Source organism: Homo sapiens, chromosome 20, assembly GCF_000001405.40.
Source record: "Homo sapiens chromosome 20, GRCh38.p14 Primary Assembly".
Taxonomy (NCBI): domain Eukaryota; kingdom Metazoa; phylum Chordata; class Mammalia; order Primates; family Hominidae; genus Homo; species Homo sapiens.
In genome coordinates this window covers 10,811,246-10,832,722 of record NC_000020.11, presented here as the reverse complement: position 1 = coordinate 10,832,722, position 21,477 = coordinate 10,811,246, and the positions used below count along the sequence as shown (strand labels likewise).

Below are 21,477 nucleotides of genomic sequence, written 5' to 3'. Positions count from 1 at the left end.
GTCCTCCATCTGTTTCTTTATCTGCAAAATGGTGATAACATCTATGGTGAAAAGTCGTGCTGCAATGTCTGCTAGGTAGTAGGTGCTCTGAAAATGGAGCTAATAGTCTCCTAAACCACAAGTGTTGCTACCCCACTCCAAAGCTCTCTTGAGATTCAAGTCCTAGGTCTCCAAATATGTTCCTTTCATCTCCCACTCCTCACCACCACTTTTTCATGGAGGCTGGTTTTCAGTGCATGTAAAATAAGTTGGTTCAACTAGTTAGGCCAAGACTGGGGGTTGCCAGGGAGCTGGGTGTTGAGGGGAGAATACCTCATTGGCTTTTATCTGAGGCATCTAGTTCTGCCTGAGCATGCTACTGGGAGATAGGCTGGTATTCACCTCCCCCAAGTGATGCTACAAGAATGAAGACAATTACACATGGTCCAACTATGCAGAAAGTTATGATGTGTCTTATAGACATATAGCTTACCTCCCTTGACATGAGAAAAGGAATTGAGCATACTTCAAACTTATTTAGTGCCTCTTAAATGGCTGGCTGAGCTATAAAAAATATCACCTTCAATGTCATAGTTAACATTCCCTGTGCCAAGAACATACAATCATTATTCTGTTCATTCCTTACTACAGGCCTGTATTTTTAAATACTCCTTCCCATTTCCAGAGGAAACTAACACTTAGAGTAGTGGTCCTCAAATTTTAACACCCATCAGAATCATCTGGATGGCTTTCTAAAATCCAGATCACTGAACCTTCTCTCCTGAGTTTCTGATTTAGCAGGTTTGGGTCTGCAGCCGCAGAGTTTGCGTGGACCACACTTTGAGCACTGGCTTAGACAACTTACATAAAATTTATAAGACTCCAACTCTTCTCTGTTTACATGGCAAAATTCCTGCTCTTTGCTATGGAAGGGAAATCCTTGCCTGGTTATCACGTTAAGTGCTGGACCTGGCTCCTCCTGTCACAAGAGCCAATGGTTATAATATCTTCCCAACTTCACATTCAATTATGTCACTCACACTTCACACAGTAGCCCAAAATCAGCTATGGTGGGAGTATTAACAACATGGAAATTGGTGAACACTACAAATCAGAGTTGATATTTTCTAGAAGCCAATTATTAAACTTCTACCAGTAGACTACAGATCATGGTCATGCCTTCAGATTTCTCTCCTCATTCTCCATCCCCTCAGAAGGAATTCCTCAGTGACCAATGGCCATGATGTGGCTAGGGAAATGGCTCCATCCACACAGTCATATGGGTTTTAACACCACATTCTTAAGTCCGTTTCTTTTCTTCAGTTTTTTGTTTAAGAGGGAAAGTGACCAATTTCAACATGAACATCTTCTCCTGAAAATCATGGTGAGCACAAAACAGCCTTACTGTGGATACTTCAGATTTGCAAGGCTCATTGTGAAGTCATCTCATGCATCCCATCCCTTCATTTATATTTGTAACATATATTTTTTGGTGACAAATATTCTCTTCCAGGCACTAAATTAGACAAAGGGGGTAGAAAAGAAAAGACAATGGTAGGCCTTGTGAAGCAAATAGTCTATCGCATGGGCTTAAGGAAAAACAAATTTTCAGATAGAAGAAAGTCAAAAAGAAACCTTCACCTTGGAATTCTTATTTAGGTTTCAATTTTTAAATGGGTAATGCATTCATATACACAGTACGAAATCCTACAGGTACAAAAGGATACACAGTAAAATATAAGTCTCCCTCCCACCTTTGTCTTCCAACCACTCAGTTCCCATCTTCTGGGAGGAAAAAAAAAAATGCTACTTTCATTTTCTTTGTTTATCTAAAGATACTTTATGCACATACAAACAAAAACATTTTTTCATTTTTTACACTAATGATAGCTCATAACACAAATTGTTCTTCATCCTTCATTTTTTCATAATAACATACATTGGATATTATTCTATAGCAATAAAGATCTGCCTCACTCTTTTTGACCATCAACCATAATATATTTATCCAGTCCCCTATTAAAGTTGTTTATAACGTTTTTCAGTTACAAACAGCACCACATTGAATAACTTTGTGCATTCATTCCTTCATCCATGTATGGATATTTCTACAGGATAAATTCCTAGAAGTGTAATTCTAGGTCAAGGGACATTTGCAATTTTAGTAGTTATTACCAAATTGTCCTCCAAATTATTTGTAGTAATTTACAGGGCCACCAATAATGTATGACAGTTTCAGTTTCTTATTTTTTCAACCAAATATATCATTAAACATTCAGGCGTTTGCCAATCTGAGAAATGAAAACTATTATAATTTTAATACACATATTTATTATAATGGATGAGGTTGAGTGGCTTTTTACAAATACAAGATTCACTTGTATCTGCTTTTTAGTAAACTATCTGATCATATACTTTGTCCATTTTTTTCTACTAGGTTTTCAGTCTACTTTTATTGATATGTAGGTACTTTTTATACATTATAGAAATTTTTCCTTATCTGATATGAAATGTAATTTTTTCATATGGTTATTATAAACTGAGAAGAAATCCATTAACATTAACCACAGGACCTTTCTTTTTTAGCCCACAAACTACCTCCTATACTTAAATACATTTGAAAGTAGTAAAGAACTTTGGGTTCAGGAGCCATAGACAATATTAAAAGTATTTATTTCCATCCAAAACTATAGCTTTCTAAAATTGTGGTAAAAGGCATAAGCTCCAACTAGATCATTTGACAGTAACATGTAGAATCTCACTCCTGAACCAACAAGGAAAAGAATCCCAGAATGAAGACCATGAGAAGTAATGGAGAAGGACCAGCTTCGGTTTGTTGTCTCAGCAAGTGTCAGAGTGGAATGCTAGGATGTCTTGGGAAGCTTGCTCGCTTGTTTATTTTCAAATGCCTTTTGAGAACCCATAAGGAAAGCCTAGATAAGAGCAGACAGGACTAGAGATGGCTACTAGCTATGGGGATTCATGTGGGCCTTTAAAAGGGACACTCCACGCCCACCCTCTACTCTGCCCTCCAAAAGAAATTTGCAAACTGGAAAAGGGGGCAGCATGAATTATCTCCACACAAGTCCCTAGATGCCTGGGTTTACTTATAATAGCAGCTTTCTTTTGTGATTCAACAAATATATCTCTTACAAATAGGCAACTTTCTGCTTCGATGCAGGATTGCCAGCTCTGAGCTAATGCCAGAGCCGTCTGGGCTGTCCCTCACTCCAAATTAAGGTTTTCTTAAACACTGTTTTCAAGAAGTTGGGGGTGGCTCTGGTTTATTTCCGATAATCAAGTTTTGCAAAGACTTCTGGCTAAGAAAACACCACATAAGCCTCTAAATCCCAAGAAGGCCCAATAGAAACCTTAAGGAGAAAAGATAAAACTCTCAACAGGCGCCAATGTCCTGGGGCTCAGATCTTCAGAGCAGCGTGAAATCCACACTTCAGGGGGCTCAGAAATGGAACTCCCTAGTCTCTTTGAAAAGTGGTCATGAGACAGTATCTTCTGAAAAAACTGGCAACCAAGCCTTTAACTGTTAGCAAGAACACCTAAAACTGTACTTGTTGATCTACAATTTTATGGTTCTCCCTGCATCCCGCCACAAAGCGATAACCCCAACAATGTAGATGGAAATGAATGATAGGCTGAACTCGTGTTGTGCAAATGCCAAGATGTAACTTAAGAGGAGCTTGCCACCCCAAAGGCAAGTATAACACTCATTTTTGCAAGACTAGGGTAGTGTTTCCTGCTTCTTTTTCATCTCCTGTGGTTCCTCACACTGGGTTTAGTGCACAGTAGGTGCACAATGGGCAAGGATGACCAAGTAGGCACTCTCACAAAGTGCCCCAGGTAGTTGCAGGAATATTTTACTCTTCCCTGCACTCCCAGCCAAGTCTTACCCATTCCTTAAGTCCTAGCACAATTCGCTTATCTTCCAAGAACCTTCCAGGCTGCTTATTTCAGTTCATATTGATTTCTCTCTCTACTCTCTTCTCATCTCCTGCACTAGGGTCTGAATAAATTCAGCACTTAATATAGTTCACCTTGTGTAATCATAGACTTCTCTATTTGTGTATGGATCTTGACATCACAGCTACACAAGAAGCTCCTGGAGCAAAGAAACATTTACATTCACATGCTTCTGCAGAGAAAAAAAATGAACTCTGCTCTTCATGTTCTAAGTCTTTCATGCTGTTCTCTCTGTCTGAAACATCTCCTTCCTTTATCTTCATCTTTCAGACCTCAGCTTAGCAATGTCTTCCTTTAGGAAGGCTCCTCAGATGCCCTGTCTTTATCTCTATGACAGTGGCCATCACGCCATGTGATGATTGATGGCTGCCACATGGACGGACTGTGTCTATATCAGTGAGTGAATGCTGCATACAAATCCACCACACCCCAAAACTTAGCGACTTCAAACATGAGTCCATGAGCTGTGCCCAGCTGTGTTTGCTCATGCATCTGTGGTCATCTGGGTGGCACTAGCTGGTCTAGGATGGCGTTAACTGGGCCACGTGCCTGTGACCTCTCATCCTCCAGCAGACTAGCTTGAACTTGTTCACACAGCATCTGGGCAAGGTTCTGAGAGAAAGAAAAGGGGCAAGGGAGAGATTCATACAAGATATTTTGAAGCATAGGTGAATAACTGGCACAAGGTCACTTTTGCTGCACTCTATTGTCAAATCAAGGCACAAGCCTAACCCAGATTTAAGAGTGAGGAAATGGACTCCTCTTGAGAGGAGCTAAGATAAGTCACATTACAAAGAGGCATGCTACAGAGAGGGGTGAAGAAGTGCAGTCATTTTTGCATTTAGTCTCCCATACTCTCCCTCACCCAACCATAACCTCCTTGCAGACAGATATGATGTTCTGTTCACTGTTACATCTCTAGCCTCTAGGACAAGACTAGCAGAGAGCAGTCTTATTTGTTAAACAAATATATGAGTTAACTAACAAATAGTGATGAAAATAGAGGAAATGGGGAGGAAAACCCTCAGGCTTCACCATCTATGTGCCGTGGATGAATGTTTTACTTAATCCTTTCAATTTATTTCATTGGTTCCAGGAGCACAGTCTCAGAACTCCTATGCCATTGCATTGTCTACTTTTAAGTCTGGTTTTCTGTGTCAGGTACTATTCTAACCTTTTTTTTTTTTCCCGACAGAGTTTCACTCTTGTTGCCCAGGCTGGAGGGCAATGGCACAATCTCGGCTCACTGCAACAGCCGCCTCCCATGTTCAAGCAGTTCTCCTGCCTCAGCCTCCCAAGTAGCTGGGATTACAGGCATGTGCCACCACGTTCAGCTAATTTTGTATTTTTAGTAGAGATGGGGTTTCTCCACATTGGTCAGGCTGGTCTCGAACTCCCGACCTCAGGTGATCCACCCACCTCGGCCTCCCAAAGTGCTGGGATTACAGGCGTGAGCCACCGCGCCTGGCCTATTCTAAGCGTTTTATGTGAATTAGTCAATAAATTATTACACAAATACTGTGAGACAGACATTATCTCTCAATTTACCAATGAGGAAACTAAGGCACAGAGAGATTAATAGCCTCTGCAACTTCACAGTTCAAAAGTAGCAGAGGTGGAATTTGAACTCATCTAGTCTGGGTTCCAGGTCAGCTCTCTCAACCACTACATTACATTGTGCCTCAAAATGTGTGGCTTATACAGGCTTTGCCAATCCTAGCTACTAGAAAAGTTCTCTACTTCAATAGGGTTGTCCAATACAGTGGCCACTAGCCACATAAGGATATTTAAATTTAAATTCATTAAAATGTACAGAATTAAAGGTTCAATTTCTCATCACATTGGCCACATTTTAAGTGTGCGATAGCTAATGAATACCAAATAGGACAGGGCAGAGAACATTTCCATCGTTGCAGAAATTTCCACTGGACTGCATAGATCTAGAATATTCCACTCTCAGAGAATTTTCCTTAGATCACAAAGAGAATGAAACCTGAAGCTTTTAGGGTCAAGATATGATGTTCTGTCATATGGCCATTTACCAGCAATGTAGGAAATTGGCAACTTGAATTCTGGGGTCCTTCAACATGAGCATGTGTGGGCCACTGAGACATCACAAGTTGTATTTCTAATGAATATCATCTGAATGTAGAATTCATGCAAGCATGAAAAGCAAGCATTTTTTTAAAAACCTATGCAATTTGAGTTCTCAAAAGCTCTATGCCCTGGCCCCATATTCTCCATCTCAAAAGCAAACCCCTATACACTCAAGGTGGAAAGGTCCATCTTTTCTGAATGGGAAAAACACCACATGATATGGGGTGGAGGAAGGCACAATACAGAGAAAAGCAGTAAAGAACCTTTTCTTGGTGAAGAGAGGAACAGCTGGTGAGCAGGATCGAATGAAGCTTTTAGAACATCTGACTCCCAGAACTAGAGACCTGGCCAAGGATTCTTGCTTCTCTGAATTTCACTTTAAATGTGATGTCTAAGTAATTCCAAACAGCTGAGGAAATTTCAGCTATGTTATATAAATATTGCTGTTATTTCTCCACTCATAGCTTTTCATGCCATTATTTAAATCTGATGATCTGCTCTGCAAATTTGGCTAGGGCTCTCCTGAAAGCTGCTTGCTTAGTATTGAAGGTGGGTGACAACAGATGAAACGTGGGGTGATGCCTTGCTTTGTGCCTCTGTTTGCAACTTCCCACCAATGTTCTGAGAGCAAACACCAACTAGCCTACAGATGACTTGTCTCTTTGTCTATCTAGATATTTCCAGAACTCTGAAACTAGTGAGAAAGTAACAGTAAGAAATCAGCCTTGAAGAGAGTCTTGTTGGTGTCTCAAAAATCAGTCATGATTTGGAAAATAAGAAAGAGAAATTAGTACAAATGGTATGCCATACCACGTGGATTGTCTTTGACGTCACCCTCTTTCATTATAAAGTCTGCTAAAAGGTGTGCTAGTTTTTATGGTTTTCAAAACATGATGAGTTTCCAAAAACTAAACCTCAACCCACTAATAGTGGCTAGTTTAATAATCAAACATAGTCTTATACTGCAAGTCATTCCCCTAACTGCTCAAATCCAGGTTTTGTCTTTCTTCTTCCTTTTATTATAGAAGTATATAATTAGACCTGAACTCAAATGTTAAGAATGTAAAGCCTCTTTAGAAAAAAGAATGGAGTCTGTGGAGGAAGATGCACTACTAATTTTAGGATACTGCTCAAATGCAGTTGAACAGGTTTAGAAAATCTTTGTGGTTAAATTCCCCACCTTTCCCACCAGGATGGTCATTTAATGCCTGTCATATTTTTACCTAATACTATAAGCCGCGTACACCCAGACTCATCTACAATATCAGCTTTATCAGAAAAGCTAGAGCGGAATATGATCAGTGGGAAAGATTAAGGGGGCTTTGCAAACAGAGGAAGGCATGTTCCATGTTAATTGCTAATCAGTTTCTGCCAATATGGCACCGTGACAGAGGCAGCAGGCCTCATATAACAAGAAGGAGATGGTCTGCTTTTCTGGGGTACAATATGTATAAAGAGAAGAATCATCCAACGACCCCAGGTGACTAATTTCTCTATAAATTTATTATTGACAAAATAGAAGCCTTTTTAATGGGATTATAACTACCCAGACAGCTGCTCTGCTAGTTGTGGAGAACATGGTTGACAAAAAAGATTTAAAGGAAAGAATAGAGGAAAATAGCAAACCTCCAGCCAGGCACACTTAGGACCCCATTTGCTTGAAAATAATAGGATCACATTGCAGATATGAAAGGAAAAGCCAATGCGCTTAAAGCAATCGCTTTCTGCACGCTCCTCATCATTTCTCTCCCACTGCTCAGCTAAGGGCACTGTTCAACAACAAATGGAGACGCCCCCATTTCCCTTGTGCCTGAAGCAGGCCTTTCAAAGGAAAGGCCACATTGTCTGGTACAGCGTTCTTTAAAGGAATTAGGTTTGAATTTAAACGGTTTCTAATGTGGACATGTTCTTTGCTTCCACTGCCAGGCTAACTTTTATAATTTACATGAAACTCATTGCAAGTTTTACTCAAAAAAAGCAATTATCTCAGATGCTGCTCTTCAGAAAAAAAAAATAATAATAAGTATATGAAGAACTGATCAAGGAAAAGAAAAATTGCCTTAAGAATCAATTCCACAATTAAATTTCACTTGGATTTCAAAGGACATTAAATAAAACGGTAGTATCTCTTCATTGTCCTCTATTAAGAAAAAACAGTGAAAAATAATATATGAGATTGTCTACATTTTTTTAAGGTTTATGGAAAATAGTGCTTTCAGATAAGATGAGAGAACATAGAGCCAAGTCTATGACTTATTTCCTTATATTTATCCATAGTTTCTAGTGACTTACACATTCATTCATTCGATAACTAGAAATTCAATGGAGAATGAAACAAAGTACAATCCTGCCATCAGGAGCTTATATTCTAGGGGGAAATGCTCTAAGTTAGATTCTCATGGAGCTGAGCCTGAGATGGGGATTCTTTTACATGTGATTTATAAGGGAGGAGTCTCAGGTAATACCAACAAGGCAATGAGGAAGCACAGGGCAGAAGAAGCCGAGAAAGTATATGATTTCAGCTGATCCCACAGACAGCCCTGGAGTGTGAGTGACACCACAGAGGCAGAGTGGCATACCCTTGCAAGCATGCCCATACCCCACCAAACCCCATATCCTCTCCATTCCTCCAAAGTTAGTCAAGGCAATAAAACAAGCACACGTGACACTGTCAAAGGCCAACACAATAGGAGGTGTTTGAGTTTTTTTGTTTTTGTTTCTTGTTCATGTAATCATTTCGTACAGATTTTCTTGATCATGTAGTTCTTCTTCAAGCTCTGAATCAAGAACCGAGGTTCCTTCTATCTTCTTCCTTCACCATCTTCACATACACGATTTCCATGATGGAAAAAGCAGATGTGGAAACCCCTAGAGGGTGCTCCTGGGAGCTTTTGAGGGCCTGGAAGCAGCACACATCACTTCCACCCACATTCTATTGGCCAGAGTGCAACCAGTGATCAGATTTAACTGCAAGGGAGGCTAGGAAAGGTTGCTTAGCTGTGTGCCAGGAAGCAATGAATACACATTTAAAGAACATCTAGATAGTCTCTACCATCCCTCCTCTCTGACTCTGTGCTCAAAGAAGCCCAGAAGAACAGACATGCAAGTGCCTGTAGAATAGAGAAGACCTTCTCCCAGCACTCATTGACTGCACCCGTGAAAGGTAATCCATTGCCCATAGGCATCTCTGCCGCCTAGGAGCAATGGAAGAGGCAAAGGCATGGGAGTGGGAAGAGGAGAGACCTGTTGCATCCGCCCAAAGCTGATCCTCTAATTCTCATTTATTTCAGCTCAGTTTCCTCATCTGCCAAGTAGGACAAAGACCCAGTGATAACTACTCTATACATCACACTGGAATTTTTTAGAGGGAAAGTAAAGAAACAAAGAATTTATTTTTATTTAAATTCAGTGAATTTAAGAGCTTTGGCCAAATTTACAATAATTGATTAGTGATGTAGGTAAATTCTAACTCCAAGTTTTTTCAAGTCCTACTGTAATAGCTCTCATAGCAAACATAGAAGCTCATGGAAGAGTATACGTCACTGCCCAAGTGTATGGTGGAATTGTCTTTTGTTGCAAACATGTGGGTTATCATCACTTTTCAGAAGGACATTTAGGGGGCCACAAAGGAAAATTCTCCAATCAGCCTACAACAAGATTAACAATATCATGAGGCATAGCTAGCTCCCAGAACATCGTGATAAAGCCGTTAGCTTATTCACCAGGGAATGCTGGTTACCTATTCGGAAAACAACCCTCTTCCAAAGGGAATGTTTGCAGGCTGGAGCAATCAAATGACAAGAAGTAGGATCATAAATAAAGAGTAGAATGAAATCTTGCATAAACACCAGCAATAACTTGGCTGGGTGACTCTCACCCTAGAGACACATGAGCACCACATGAAGAACTTTTTAAAATGTGGATGCCCAAACCCCACTTCGGATAAAGTAAATCAGAATTTTTAAGGTAGGGCTCAGGCATCAGGATTTTTTAAAGTTTCCCAAGCAATTTTATTGTGCAGCTATATTTGAGAGCTACTGGTTCTCCCAGTGTGTCTTCACAACATTTTTTTTCCTCAAATACTGTTAACACTTTTATTTATATTTTTACAGACTTTTCTTATGGGTGCATGTACTATTCTTTCAAGGTTGAGATCATATTAACTACATGTATTCAGGATACCAAACCTTGCCAATTTTTAAATTTTTTTAAAATTTTACTTTAAGTTCTGGGGTACATGTGCAGAACGTGCAGGTTTGTTACATAGGTATACACATGCCATGGTGCTTTGCTGTACCCATCAACCTGTCATCTACATTAGGTATTTCTCCTAGTGCTATCCCTCCCCTAGCCCCCCACCCCCCGAGAAGCCCCAGTGTGTGGTGTTCCCATCATTGTGTCCATGTGTTCTCATTGTTCGACTCCTACTTATGAGTGAGAACATACCGTATTTGGTTTTCTGTTCTTCTGTTAGTTTGCTGAGAGTGATGGTTTCCAGCATCATCCATGTCCCTGCAAAGGACATGAATTCATCCTTTTTTATGGCCGCATAGTATTCCATGGTGTATATGTGCCACATTTTCTTTATCCAGTCTATCACTGATGGGCATTTGGGTTGGTTCCAAGTCTTTGCTATTGTGAACAGTGCCACAATAAACATATGTGTGCATGTGTCTTTATAGTAGAATGATTTTTAATCCTTTGGGTATATACCCAGTAATGGGATTGCTAGGTCAAATGTTATTTCTAGTTCTGGATCCTTGAGGAATCTCCACACTGTCTTCCACAATGGTTGAACTAATTTACACTCCCACAAACAGTGTAAAAGACTTCCTATTTCTCCGCATCCTCTCCAGCATCTGTTGTTTCCTGACTTTTTAATGATTGCCATTCTAACTGGCATTAGACGGTATCTCATTGTGGTTTTGACTTGCATTTCTCTAATGACCAGTGATGATGAGCTTTTTTTCATGTTTGTTGGCTGCATAAATGTCTTCTTTTGAGAAGTGTCTGTTCATATCCTTCACCCACTTTTTGATGGGCTTGTTTTTTCTTTTAAATTTGTTTAAGTTCTTTGTAGATTCTGGATATTAGTCCTTTGTCAGATGGATAGATTACAAAAATTTTCTCCCATTCTGTAGGTTGCTTGTTCACTCTGGTGATAGTTTCATTTGCTGTGCAGAAGCTCTTTAGTTTAATCAGATCCCATTTGTCTATTTTGGCTTTTGTTGCCATTGCTTTTGGTGTTTTAGTCATCAAGTATTTGTCCATGCCTATGTCCTGAATGGTACTGCCTAGGTTTTCTTCTAAGGCTTTTTATGGTTTTAGGTCTTATGTTTAAGTCTTTAATCCATCTTGAGTTAATTTTTGTAAAAGGTGTAAGGAAGGGATCCAGTTTCAGCTTTCTGCATATGGCTAGCTAGTTTTCCCAACACCATTTCTTAAATAGGAAATCCTTTCCCCATTGCTTGTTTTTGTCAGGTTTGTCAAAGATCAGATGGTTGTAGATGGGTGGTGTGATTTCTGAGGCCTCTGTTCTGTTTCATTGGTCTATATATCTGTTTTGGTACCAGTACCATGATGTTTTGGTTACTGTAGCCTTGTATTATAGTTTAAAGTCAGGTAGCGTGATGCCTCTCGCTTTGTTCTTTTTGCTTAGGATTGTCTTGGCTATGTGGCCTCTTTTTTGGTTCCACATGAAATTTAAAGTAGTTTTTTCCAATTCTATGAAGAAAGTCAATGGTAGCTTGATTGGGACAGTATTGAATCTATAAATTACTTCAGGGAGTATGGCTATTTTGATGATATTGATTCTTCTTATCCGTGAGCATCGTATGTTTTTCCACATGTTTGTGTCCTCTCTTATTTCCATGAGCAGTGGTTTGTAGTTCTCCTTGAAGAGGTCCTTCACATCGCTTGTAAGTTAGATTCCTAGGTATTTTATTCTCTTTGTAGCAATTGTGAATAGGAGTTCACTCATGATTTGGCTCTCTGTCTGTTATTGGTATATAGGAATGCTTGTGATTTTTGCACATTGATTTTGTGTCCTGAGATTTTGCTGAAGTTTCTTATCAGCTTAAGGAGATTTGGGGCTGAGACGATGGGGTTTTCTAAATATACAATCATGTCATCTGCAAACAGAGACAATTTGACTTCCTCTTTTCCTATTTGAATACCCTTTATTTCTTTCTCTTGCCTGATGGCCCTTGTCAGGACTTCCAACACTATGTTGAATAGGAGTGGTGAGAGAGGGCATCCTTGTCCTGTACTGGTTTTCAAAGGGAATGTTTCCAGTTTTTGCCCATTCAGTATGATATTGGCTGTGGGTTTGTCATAAATAACTCTTACTATTTTGAGATACATTCCATTAATGCCTAGTTTATTGAGAGTTTTTAGCATGAAGGGCTGTTGAATTTTGTCGAAGGCCTTTTCTGCATCTATTGAGATAATCATGTGGTTTTTGTTGTTGGTTCTGTTTATGTGATGGATTACGTTTATTAATTTGTGTATGTTGAACCAGCCTTGCATCCTAGGGATGAAGCCTACTTCATCCTGGTGGATAAGCTTTTTGATGTGCTGCTGGATTTGATTTACCAGTATTTTATTGAGGATTTTCACATCGATGGTCATCAGGGATATTGGCCTGAAATTTTCTTTTTTGTTGTGTCTCTGCCAGGTTTTGGTATGAGGATGATGCTGGCCTCATAAAATGAGTCAGGGAGGATTCCCTCTTTTTCTATTGTTTGGAATAGTTTTGGAAGGAATTATATCAGCTCCTCTTTGTACCTCTGGTAGAATTCAGCTGTGAATCCATCTGGTCCTGGACTTTTTTTGGTTGTTAGGCTATTAATTGCTGCCTCAATTTCAGAACTTGTTATTGGTCTATTCAGGGATTTGACTTCCTCCTTGTTTAGTCTTGGGAGGGTGTATGTGTCCAGGAATTTATCCACTTCTTCTGGATTTTCTAGTTTATTTGCGTAGAGGTGTTTATAGTATTCGCTGTTGGTAGTTTATATTTCTGTGGGATTGGTGGTGATATCCCCTTTAACATTTTTTATTGCATCTATTTGATTCTTCTCTCTTTTCTTCTTTATTAGTCTGGCTAGTGGTCTATCTATTTTGTTGACCTTTTCAAAAAAAAAAACTAGCTCCTGGATTCATTGATTTTTTTTGAAGGGTTTTTCCTGTCTCTATCTCCTTCAGTTCTCCTCTGATCTTAGTTATTTCTTGTCCACCGATCCCACAGAAATACAAACTACCATCAAAGAATACTATAAACACCTCTAAGACCACAGTGCAATCAAATTAGAACTCAGGATTAAGAAACTCACTTGAAACCACACAACTACATGGAAACTGAACAACCTCCTCCTGAATAACTACTGGGTAAATAATGAAATGAAGGCAGAAATAAAGATGTTCTTTGAAACCAGTAAGAACAAAGACACAATGTACCAGAATCTCTGGGACACATTTAAAGCAGTGTGTAGAGGGAAATTTATAGCACTAAATGCCCACAAGAGAAAGCAGGAAAGATCTAAAATTGACACCCTAACATCACAATTAAAAGAACTAGAGAAGCAAGAGCAAACAAATTCATAACATCTTGTTGAGAGTGAGGGACACTTGAAAGGAAACGGGGGAGTGAATTATGCAAATAAGAGGCTTGAGGTATGAGCAGAGCATCTGAATAATGATGAGAACAGACACATGAAATTCCCACAGTAGCAGGACAAGTAGTCAGCTCCATGTCCTTCCTCCTGCAACTTCCCACCTGCTGGAGTCATTCCTGTCAACATCTCCCAAGCTTGTGTCCTCCTTGGGAAGTGTCTTATATAAATAGTTTCTGAGCTTCCATCACCAGCCTGAGCAAGGTTTCTCAGGATAGGAAGGCTGATACGGTGTGGCTCTGTGTCCCATCCAAATCTCACCTCTAATTGTAATCATACCCATGTGTTGTGGGAGGGACCCAATGGGAGGTAATTGAATCCTGGGGATGGGTTTTTCCCATGCTGTTCTCATGACAATGCATAAGTCTCAGAAGATCTGATGGTTTTATAAAGGGGAGTTTCCCTCTGCACACTCTCTTGCCTGCCACCATGTAAGATGTGACTTCACTCCTCATCCACCTTCTGCCATGATTGTGAGGCCTCCCCAGTCAAGTGGAACTGTAAGTCCATTAAGCCTCTTTCCTTTATAAATTACCCAGTCTTTGGATATGTCTATATTAGCAGTGTGAGAACAGACTAATACAGAAGCTGATGTTCTAAAATACTTTTGATGGCAATGAACTGGAGGCCACAAAGTAGGCTAAGAACAGTCTCCATTTATTGAGCACTAACTACCTGTAAAGCACTGGGCAAAGGGCTTCACATGTGTTATCTCGTTTCACACTATAAAGTAGGTAATGTGACACCTATTTTTCAGAGAGGTAAGCTCAGGCTGAAAATGAAAAATTTGCTTTAAGCTATCCAACTAATAATAACAGTAGAACCTGGTTTCAAACCTAGACTACCAACTTTCAAAACTCTTGCAGTTAAACAAAAATGGTTGCTAGATATAGGGGCCTATTCAGTGTCTTGAGCTCAACCACCCTTCAGAGTTGGAAACCTATAAGGGATAGAGAGGGAAAAAAACCCTGAGATTTATTTTAAGTAAAAATTTCAGGGATTACAAAGCTCAAATATTACATAAATCCATAACATCAGAAAAAAAGTAAAAATATAATAAATTCTTTAAAAAGCCAATTGTAATCATTCTCTGATCCGTGCATATCCAAAGCAATCAGCCTTTTAAGACCCTATCTGAAATATGGAAGGGGAACATAGTAGAGAGCCCTAGAATTTGTTCACAAAGACAGTGAATATCATAGGCTCAGAGCTGACCTTGGTGAAAAAGGTATACATAGCTTCCAGCTTAGGAAATCTAAACTCTGTAAAGAAAGGTAGCATATTTTAAATCCAAAAGACATCTTTTTGTTTTTAACAAATCCAAAATATTGGGGTTTTCCTATGGAGAAAAGGCAAAGCCCCCATGTGTTTAGAGGGGAGCTGATTTGACCAAGACTCAGCTGTCAAGAGTTTTATTTTTCTGGGAACTCAGGGACTAAATGAACTACATTTCAACAAATCAAATCAATTATACTAATATTAATTTTAATAAACTACGTATAAGCCAACCAAGTATGGTAGACAGGTTGTAAAAATGGTCTCAATTCTTTACCTTCCCCTGGTTCTCTACCCTTGGCTATATAATGTTGTAGTGCCTGCCTCATGTCCCTAAATTTAGCCCTGTGATTTGTTTTGGTCAATTAAATATCAGCAAAGGTGATGTGGGCAAAGGCTTGAAATGGGTTTCCATTTAGTCTGTTGCTCCTCAGCTTCACATATAAGCATGCCTTGGCTAAACTGCTCAAGGTAGAGACATGTAGAGCAGGCCCCAAATGTCCCAGTCAAGGTCTCAGACATGTGAGGAAGTCCAGCCAAGATCCGCAAAGTTACCCAGCCAAACCCAAGCTGATAGACATATGAGTAAGCCCTACCAAGCCTGGCTCAGATTGGCACAACCACTCAGCCAAACCATAGATTTATGAACAAAAAGGTTTATTGTCACATGCATGCGAAGCTGTATGGCTACTTGTGATGTTGCATTATTGCAGCAATAGATAACTGATATATCATGTAATAGAAATTATATTTGTGACCATTTCTTGATACTCTGCAAATATTACCACCATTATATATTTTCAATAAAAGGTGTCCTTCCTCCTCCCTCCCACCCCTCCCAATTTCCCTTAGGCTTGAATCTCTCTCATCTCTTGAGTTATTTTTAGAGCCAAAAACTTCCTCTATGCCTTCTGGCAATCAGCTGTTGCTCAAAGACATACCTACCTAAAGGTAATTTGTTCTGTATTCCAGAAAATTAAAGTAGAGCTGAGCTTTATTTTACATATCTCTTTCTTCTCCATGCAACTGGAAGCTGAACTTTTTCACAACATCAGGTACAGAGTAGGCACTCATTAAATATTATTTGAATGAATGAAGTAAAATAAAAAGTAAGATTGACCTTAAATGAGAGTAAACTCAAAGTATCTATTGGTATCTTTTGGTTGCAAGTGATGGAAACCCCTTATCAAATTGGCTTCAGCAAAAACAAGTATTTAACTGGTTAATGTAACTTGAAATTTCCATGGGTGGCTGAATTCAAGAATTCAAACAATGCCATCCCATCAGGACCTGGTTTTTCTCTGGATCTCAGCTCCATCTCCTGCTTTATTCATTTTTTTTTCAAGCTCTGAGTGGTACCCCTGAAGCTACAGTCTTACATCTTCCAAATAGAAAAAGAAAAGGTGTTTTTTCCCCATTAGTCCTGGGAAAGCCTTGATTGGTTCTCTCGATTCTGGCTGTATCACATCCCCGTCCCTGAGTCAATCACTTTGGTTGGGGAAATGCAATGTTCTCATTGGCCAGGCCTGGAGGACATAAGAGGTGGAGGTAGTGAATGGGGGACACCTTCACTGAAAGAAAGTGAGGTGTGGGTTCACAAAGAAAAACATCAAGATTAAATAGATGCTGCATCCACCCAGGCTCCAAATCTACCTAATTAAACAGGGAAAGCACACATGAGGTTATAATACATGCACACCATGTCTGACTCCTCTTGTGCACTTCCTAGGGTCTCTTACCACCACCCCCACTTTCCACTACAGCATTGTTGCTGCAACCAGATGTATGTGATGTAACCTGACAGCACTTCAGCTCAACTATATCATGTACCTCTCACTTTCTATACTGGGCCTTTCTATGCCACAGTCATGTAGGATGCCAGAAAGAACCCAACCAGCCATTCTGGCACACATGCAAACTTAGAAGTGTAAGGGAATTAACTCATGGGGCATCCTTGACCATGAGTAATGGAAACCAGTGGAGAAATACTCCCTTCTTCTCAGAAGACAATCCTGCATGGCTTCTGGGGGCTCTGGACTGAGCCCTAGTACCCACAGCAAGAATCAGCTCAATAATTCACCATGAAATTGGCTTTTCTTCTTTCCCTACTTCACTCTCCCCAATCTCCTGCTTCTGATCCCTGGAATCATTTCCTAAAACAACCTGCACGCAACCCCTTGCCTCTGGTTCTGCTTTTCAGTGGAATCTAGGCTTGGGTGCATGCACACACTCACACACAAAAATGTACACACACACACACACACAGCCCCAACTATATGCAGGAGGTGAAAAAGAATGCAAAACAAGATAGAAAAAACTATCCTTTTCCTCTTCTTTCAGCTTAAAATCAAGTTATCCCATCCACATTCATTTCTGCCAATCATTAAATGGACTTCAATAACTTTACTGGTAGTTCTATAAGAAAATAAAACTCCCAGGAAAACTTCCCCCAAAAATTCTCCTCCAGATCTTGAGAAGGGTTCTCTCTCGAATGAAGCACAGATCTTTGGGATTACTAACCAGGAAGAAGCAATGGAAGGAGACCAGGAAACTGGAAGAGATTACATGTGACCTAGGCCTTAAAGGGTATGTAGGATTTCCATATGGAAAGAAGTGATGTGAGCAAAATCTGGGCTTGACACCTGAAATGTGAAAGGCATCACTAGTATCAGAGCTGGGGTGCAAGTCGGTCTCCCTGGAAACAGAGATCATGTCATCTCAATGACAGCACTACTGCCCTCCCAGAATGCCCAGTCACCACAAAGTATGCAGAAATGGTATTTACACTCACATCATCTAACATACCAAGTAAACAAAACACTGCTCTTGCAAATTGCAGAAAATATAAAAAAAGATCAAAATATAGTTAATATGTATACTATATATCACAGATCAATGTTTTTTAAAGTACAAAAATTCAAAAGCTAAGTCAGCAAAGGATGAGAACAGATGATTCGTTTGAAAGGATATGGAATTAGATAACACAAAGGAAACAGAACAACCTTATTGTCACCAGAGATATGCAAACTGAACAAGATGCTGCTTTCTACCAAAATGGTAAAACACTAACATCATTGGCCATAACCAATAATGGTAGCTCTGTATGTTGCTAATAAGACTGTAAATTGATAGAACATTTTGGAAATACATTTGGCAATATTATCAAGAGCCTTAAATCTTTTCACTCCTTTTGATGATATAAGTTCATCTTTTGGAATCTATGGAAAGGAAATAATTCTGGATGCAGAAAACAAACAAATCTGAATTTAGAATTATCCTGCCCATTTGTAGCATTACAATAGCAAAAAATAAAATGGAACATTATCTTCTAGTAAAAGAATGCTAAAGCAAATTACAGCCTGTTAATGTAGCATATTATTATGTAACCATTTAAATATTTATCAAAAATTTATAATAATATATTATTAAAATCATGTGAAATAAAAAGACAGAAATCATAATTATATATGCAATATGAATACAATTCTTGTTCATATTGCACATAGAAGAGGCAAAGCAAGGCATATATAAAAGTTTGAAGAAATAAACACTAAAATCTTAGCAAGCATTGTGTTTGAGCAATTGGTACTACACTTTGTTATATTTTTAAATGTTCTATAACAAGTACGTACTTAATGAGAAAAATTAACTCGGTATTTTTTAAAAGATTATTGGTTAAAAATTATACCTATATAACAAAAACTGAAACTATATAAGCCTGTAGACAAGTATTAGGAAAAAAAACACAGAAATATAAGCAGTTGTTGCATTTGGATCCTAGAATCAGAGTGATTTTTATTTCCTTTATGGTCTTCATAACATTGTTTTGCAACACCACATACACACAAAGAGATAATATTGAACTGATTTCAAGGAAGGTAGTCCCTCTGCTCTATAGGGATGGATCAAAATAGATTCCTACAATAAGGATCAAATCCTTGCCCTGGAAATCATGAAGAGTCAATGTTCACAAATGTAAATTAAAGCAGGTCCTCTCCCAAGTCTGAATTAAGGACAGTCCAGAGAATTGGAAGCTTCGTCCATGATTACTCTCCAAAAATGGAAAGCCTAGGCCTTTTGCCTATCAGAATGTATCACACTGACAAGACCCTCAAGAAGCAATGCCAAAGAAGAGAAGTCCCAGCACATATAAACATATCCACGCACATAAACACATTCATTCTCAAATAATGGGGGTCAAAGGCATTCGGTCACAGCAAAGGCGTGGCTATCTTAGAAAATGCCTGGTTTCCTACCTTTGGACACAGCCAAATAGTAGTAGCTACTTTAATTTCTGGATAACAAACAAAGCTTAAGCGCTAGACTCTAAGTGAAGGGTTTGGGGGAAAGAAGGAGCTCGGGTTAAGCCAAACTGCAGTTCAATTTACTGAAAGCTTCAAAATATTACCAACTGTCTGTTTGAAATGCGTCAGCAACGGTTCATTTTTTTTCCTTTTATCAAAACACATTTAGACTGTGGTGAATGACAGCATAAATCTTAAATAGAAAAGATACAGGGAAAAAAGACCACCCGGGTAGAACATAACTGTAAATGTGTCCATAAAACTATATTTGAATTCTGTTCTTATACACAGAAATGCATTTAACCTTCCCAGCAAGACGCTTTCACCAACCTCCAAAGAAAGTGTTACCAATTAAGCTAAAGAAACTTTAAGAGTCAATTTTAATTACACCAAGAGATGCTCCAATCACTTCCCAGCTCCAGCTGAAGTTTTTACTAGAGATGGCTGGAACCAATTTACGTGCTTTTATGTTGCGTCTAGACTTTAATAAGCGGTTTAAGCACGAAGCAAGCCGATGCCAGCATCAAGCAGGCTGCAGTATAGTCTGCATGTAGAAATACAATAACCCTCAGGTCCCAGCCCCTTCTTGCTGATATCAGGGAATACTCTCTACGATGCAGTTTCAAAAGCAACAGGATCCAGCATTTATGATAAGATTTTCGACCCTTTTCTTTAGCCTTGTTTAAGTTTTCCTCTCTTTTCTCAATACCAAATGCCTTATAAGATCAGCCACTCTAGCCTTTCGCTTAGTCTTAAAATTAACAGTGGGGAATGGAGATAACTGACTTGGATCAGGTGTGCCTCCCAAGACAGCGCAGCTGGAGCCAGGTGCTGCTTGTTACCTACTGGCAAGAGGGAACTTCTGCAAGTCAGGTGAGCCTCCATATTCCACATCGGTAAAGTGGGAATCCTACCTGACGTTTTGTGTAGGTGAAACACAGTCCCGTTTATAGTTAGTCAGGTTGCTAGGAGGCAGACTGAGGCCAGGATTCACAGATTAAGGAAGTGCTACCAGAAAGCACCAGGTGGGGAATGCTGGACCGAAAAGGGGAAGAAGTGGAGCCAGAGTTGATATTCCCTACAAATTTCCAGTCCCTGCCTCAGCTTGCATAAATCGCTAGAGCACAAATTATACCTCAGAGTTTGTCCTGAATCAAGGCAAAGGAGCAGGGCTTTCACAGTCGTACCCTAGCTAGTCCTTGGCTACAGATGGTCAGGCTGGTATTGGTTGGAAATGTACACTCCCAGGCACTTATGGCTCTCGGAAAGTAAAGCATCTCCAAGTGCCCAGAGGTAACTTTCAGAAGGTCACAGGTTCAAGCTGTTGGCAGAAGCTGGGAATGATGCAGCAAGCTTGTAAAAGAATTTTGGCAGGGCACACGTTCACCCCGCTTTGCAAACTGTGTTGGAGAAGTATTGTACGAGTGATGGCCGCTACTAACGTTTTTAAGTACTAGGTACCTCTTACAAAGCACATCATGTGCATTAGCAAATCACTTATGAAGTATGTTCAGTTACTATCACCATTGCACAGTGGGGAAAACAGGCTTAGAAAGGCAAAATTACTTACACTCACAGCCTTAGAAGTAGCAAAGCTGGATTGAGAACCTTGTTCATCTACCTCCAAAGGATACAGCCCAAGTTCCTACCTACTATATATCCCATTGTTATCTCTGAAGCATCTAAATTAAAAACCAAAATGGCAACCACTTTCATGGGATCCATGCACATAATGAGAATGAATGAAACTGAAAGGTTTTAGACAATTGGGTGAAACAAAACTCCAAACAAAACCATTTGACCAACTTATGGGATCAATAGGCAGACAGTTTAAGACTCCTGAACTTTCTATGTATCTGTCTGACCTTTCTCATTAACATCAGAGGCTCCATAGAGACCCTGGCCAACAACCACTCAGGTTAAACATTTAAGTCTTTGGGGCCCATTTTTTCAATGTATACTGTACAGGGTGGTAGGTTATAGGTAGGAAGAAAATAAACTCCTGCTTCCGTGGCCATTACACACATTAACTGGAATGTGGAAGGCACCACCTGGAGTTGTTCAGTGCATCTGCCCTGTCTGGGTCTTATCTTCTTTGAGTAGCACAGAATGGATTGCCAAGCTTGGTAGGATTTCCTTTGCTCTTTTTGGGGGAGAGGTGGGGGGAAGGGAAC

General features: G+C 39.6%; 2 annotated features.

Annotated features, from left to right (window-relative positions):
- Window positions 4,155–4,355: a silencer, noted in NCBI's record as "peak4147 fragment used in MPRA reporter construct". NCBI's record gives its function as "represses an SCP1 promoter by STARR-seq MPRAs in K562 erythroleukemia cells {active_cell/tissue: K562}" and the evidence as "EXISTENCE:reporter gene assay evidence [ECO:0000049][PMID:32103011]".
- Window positions 18,932–20,188: an enhancer, noted in NCBI's record as "VISTA enhancer hs1278". NCBI's record gives its function as "enhancer in: limb[9/11] | nose[7/11]" and the evidence as "EXISTENCE:transgenic organism evidence [ECO:0001131][PMID:17130149]".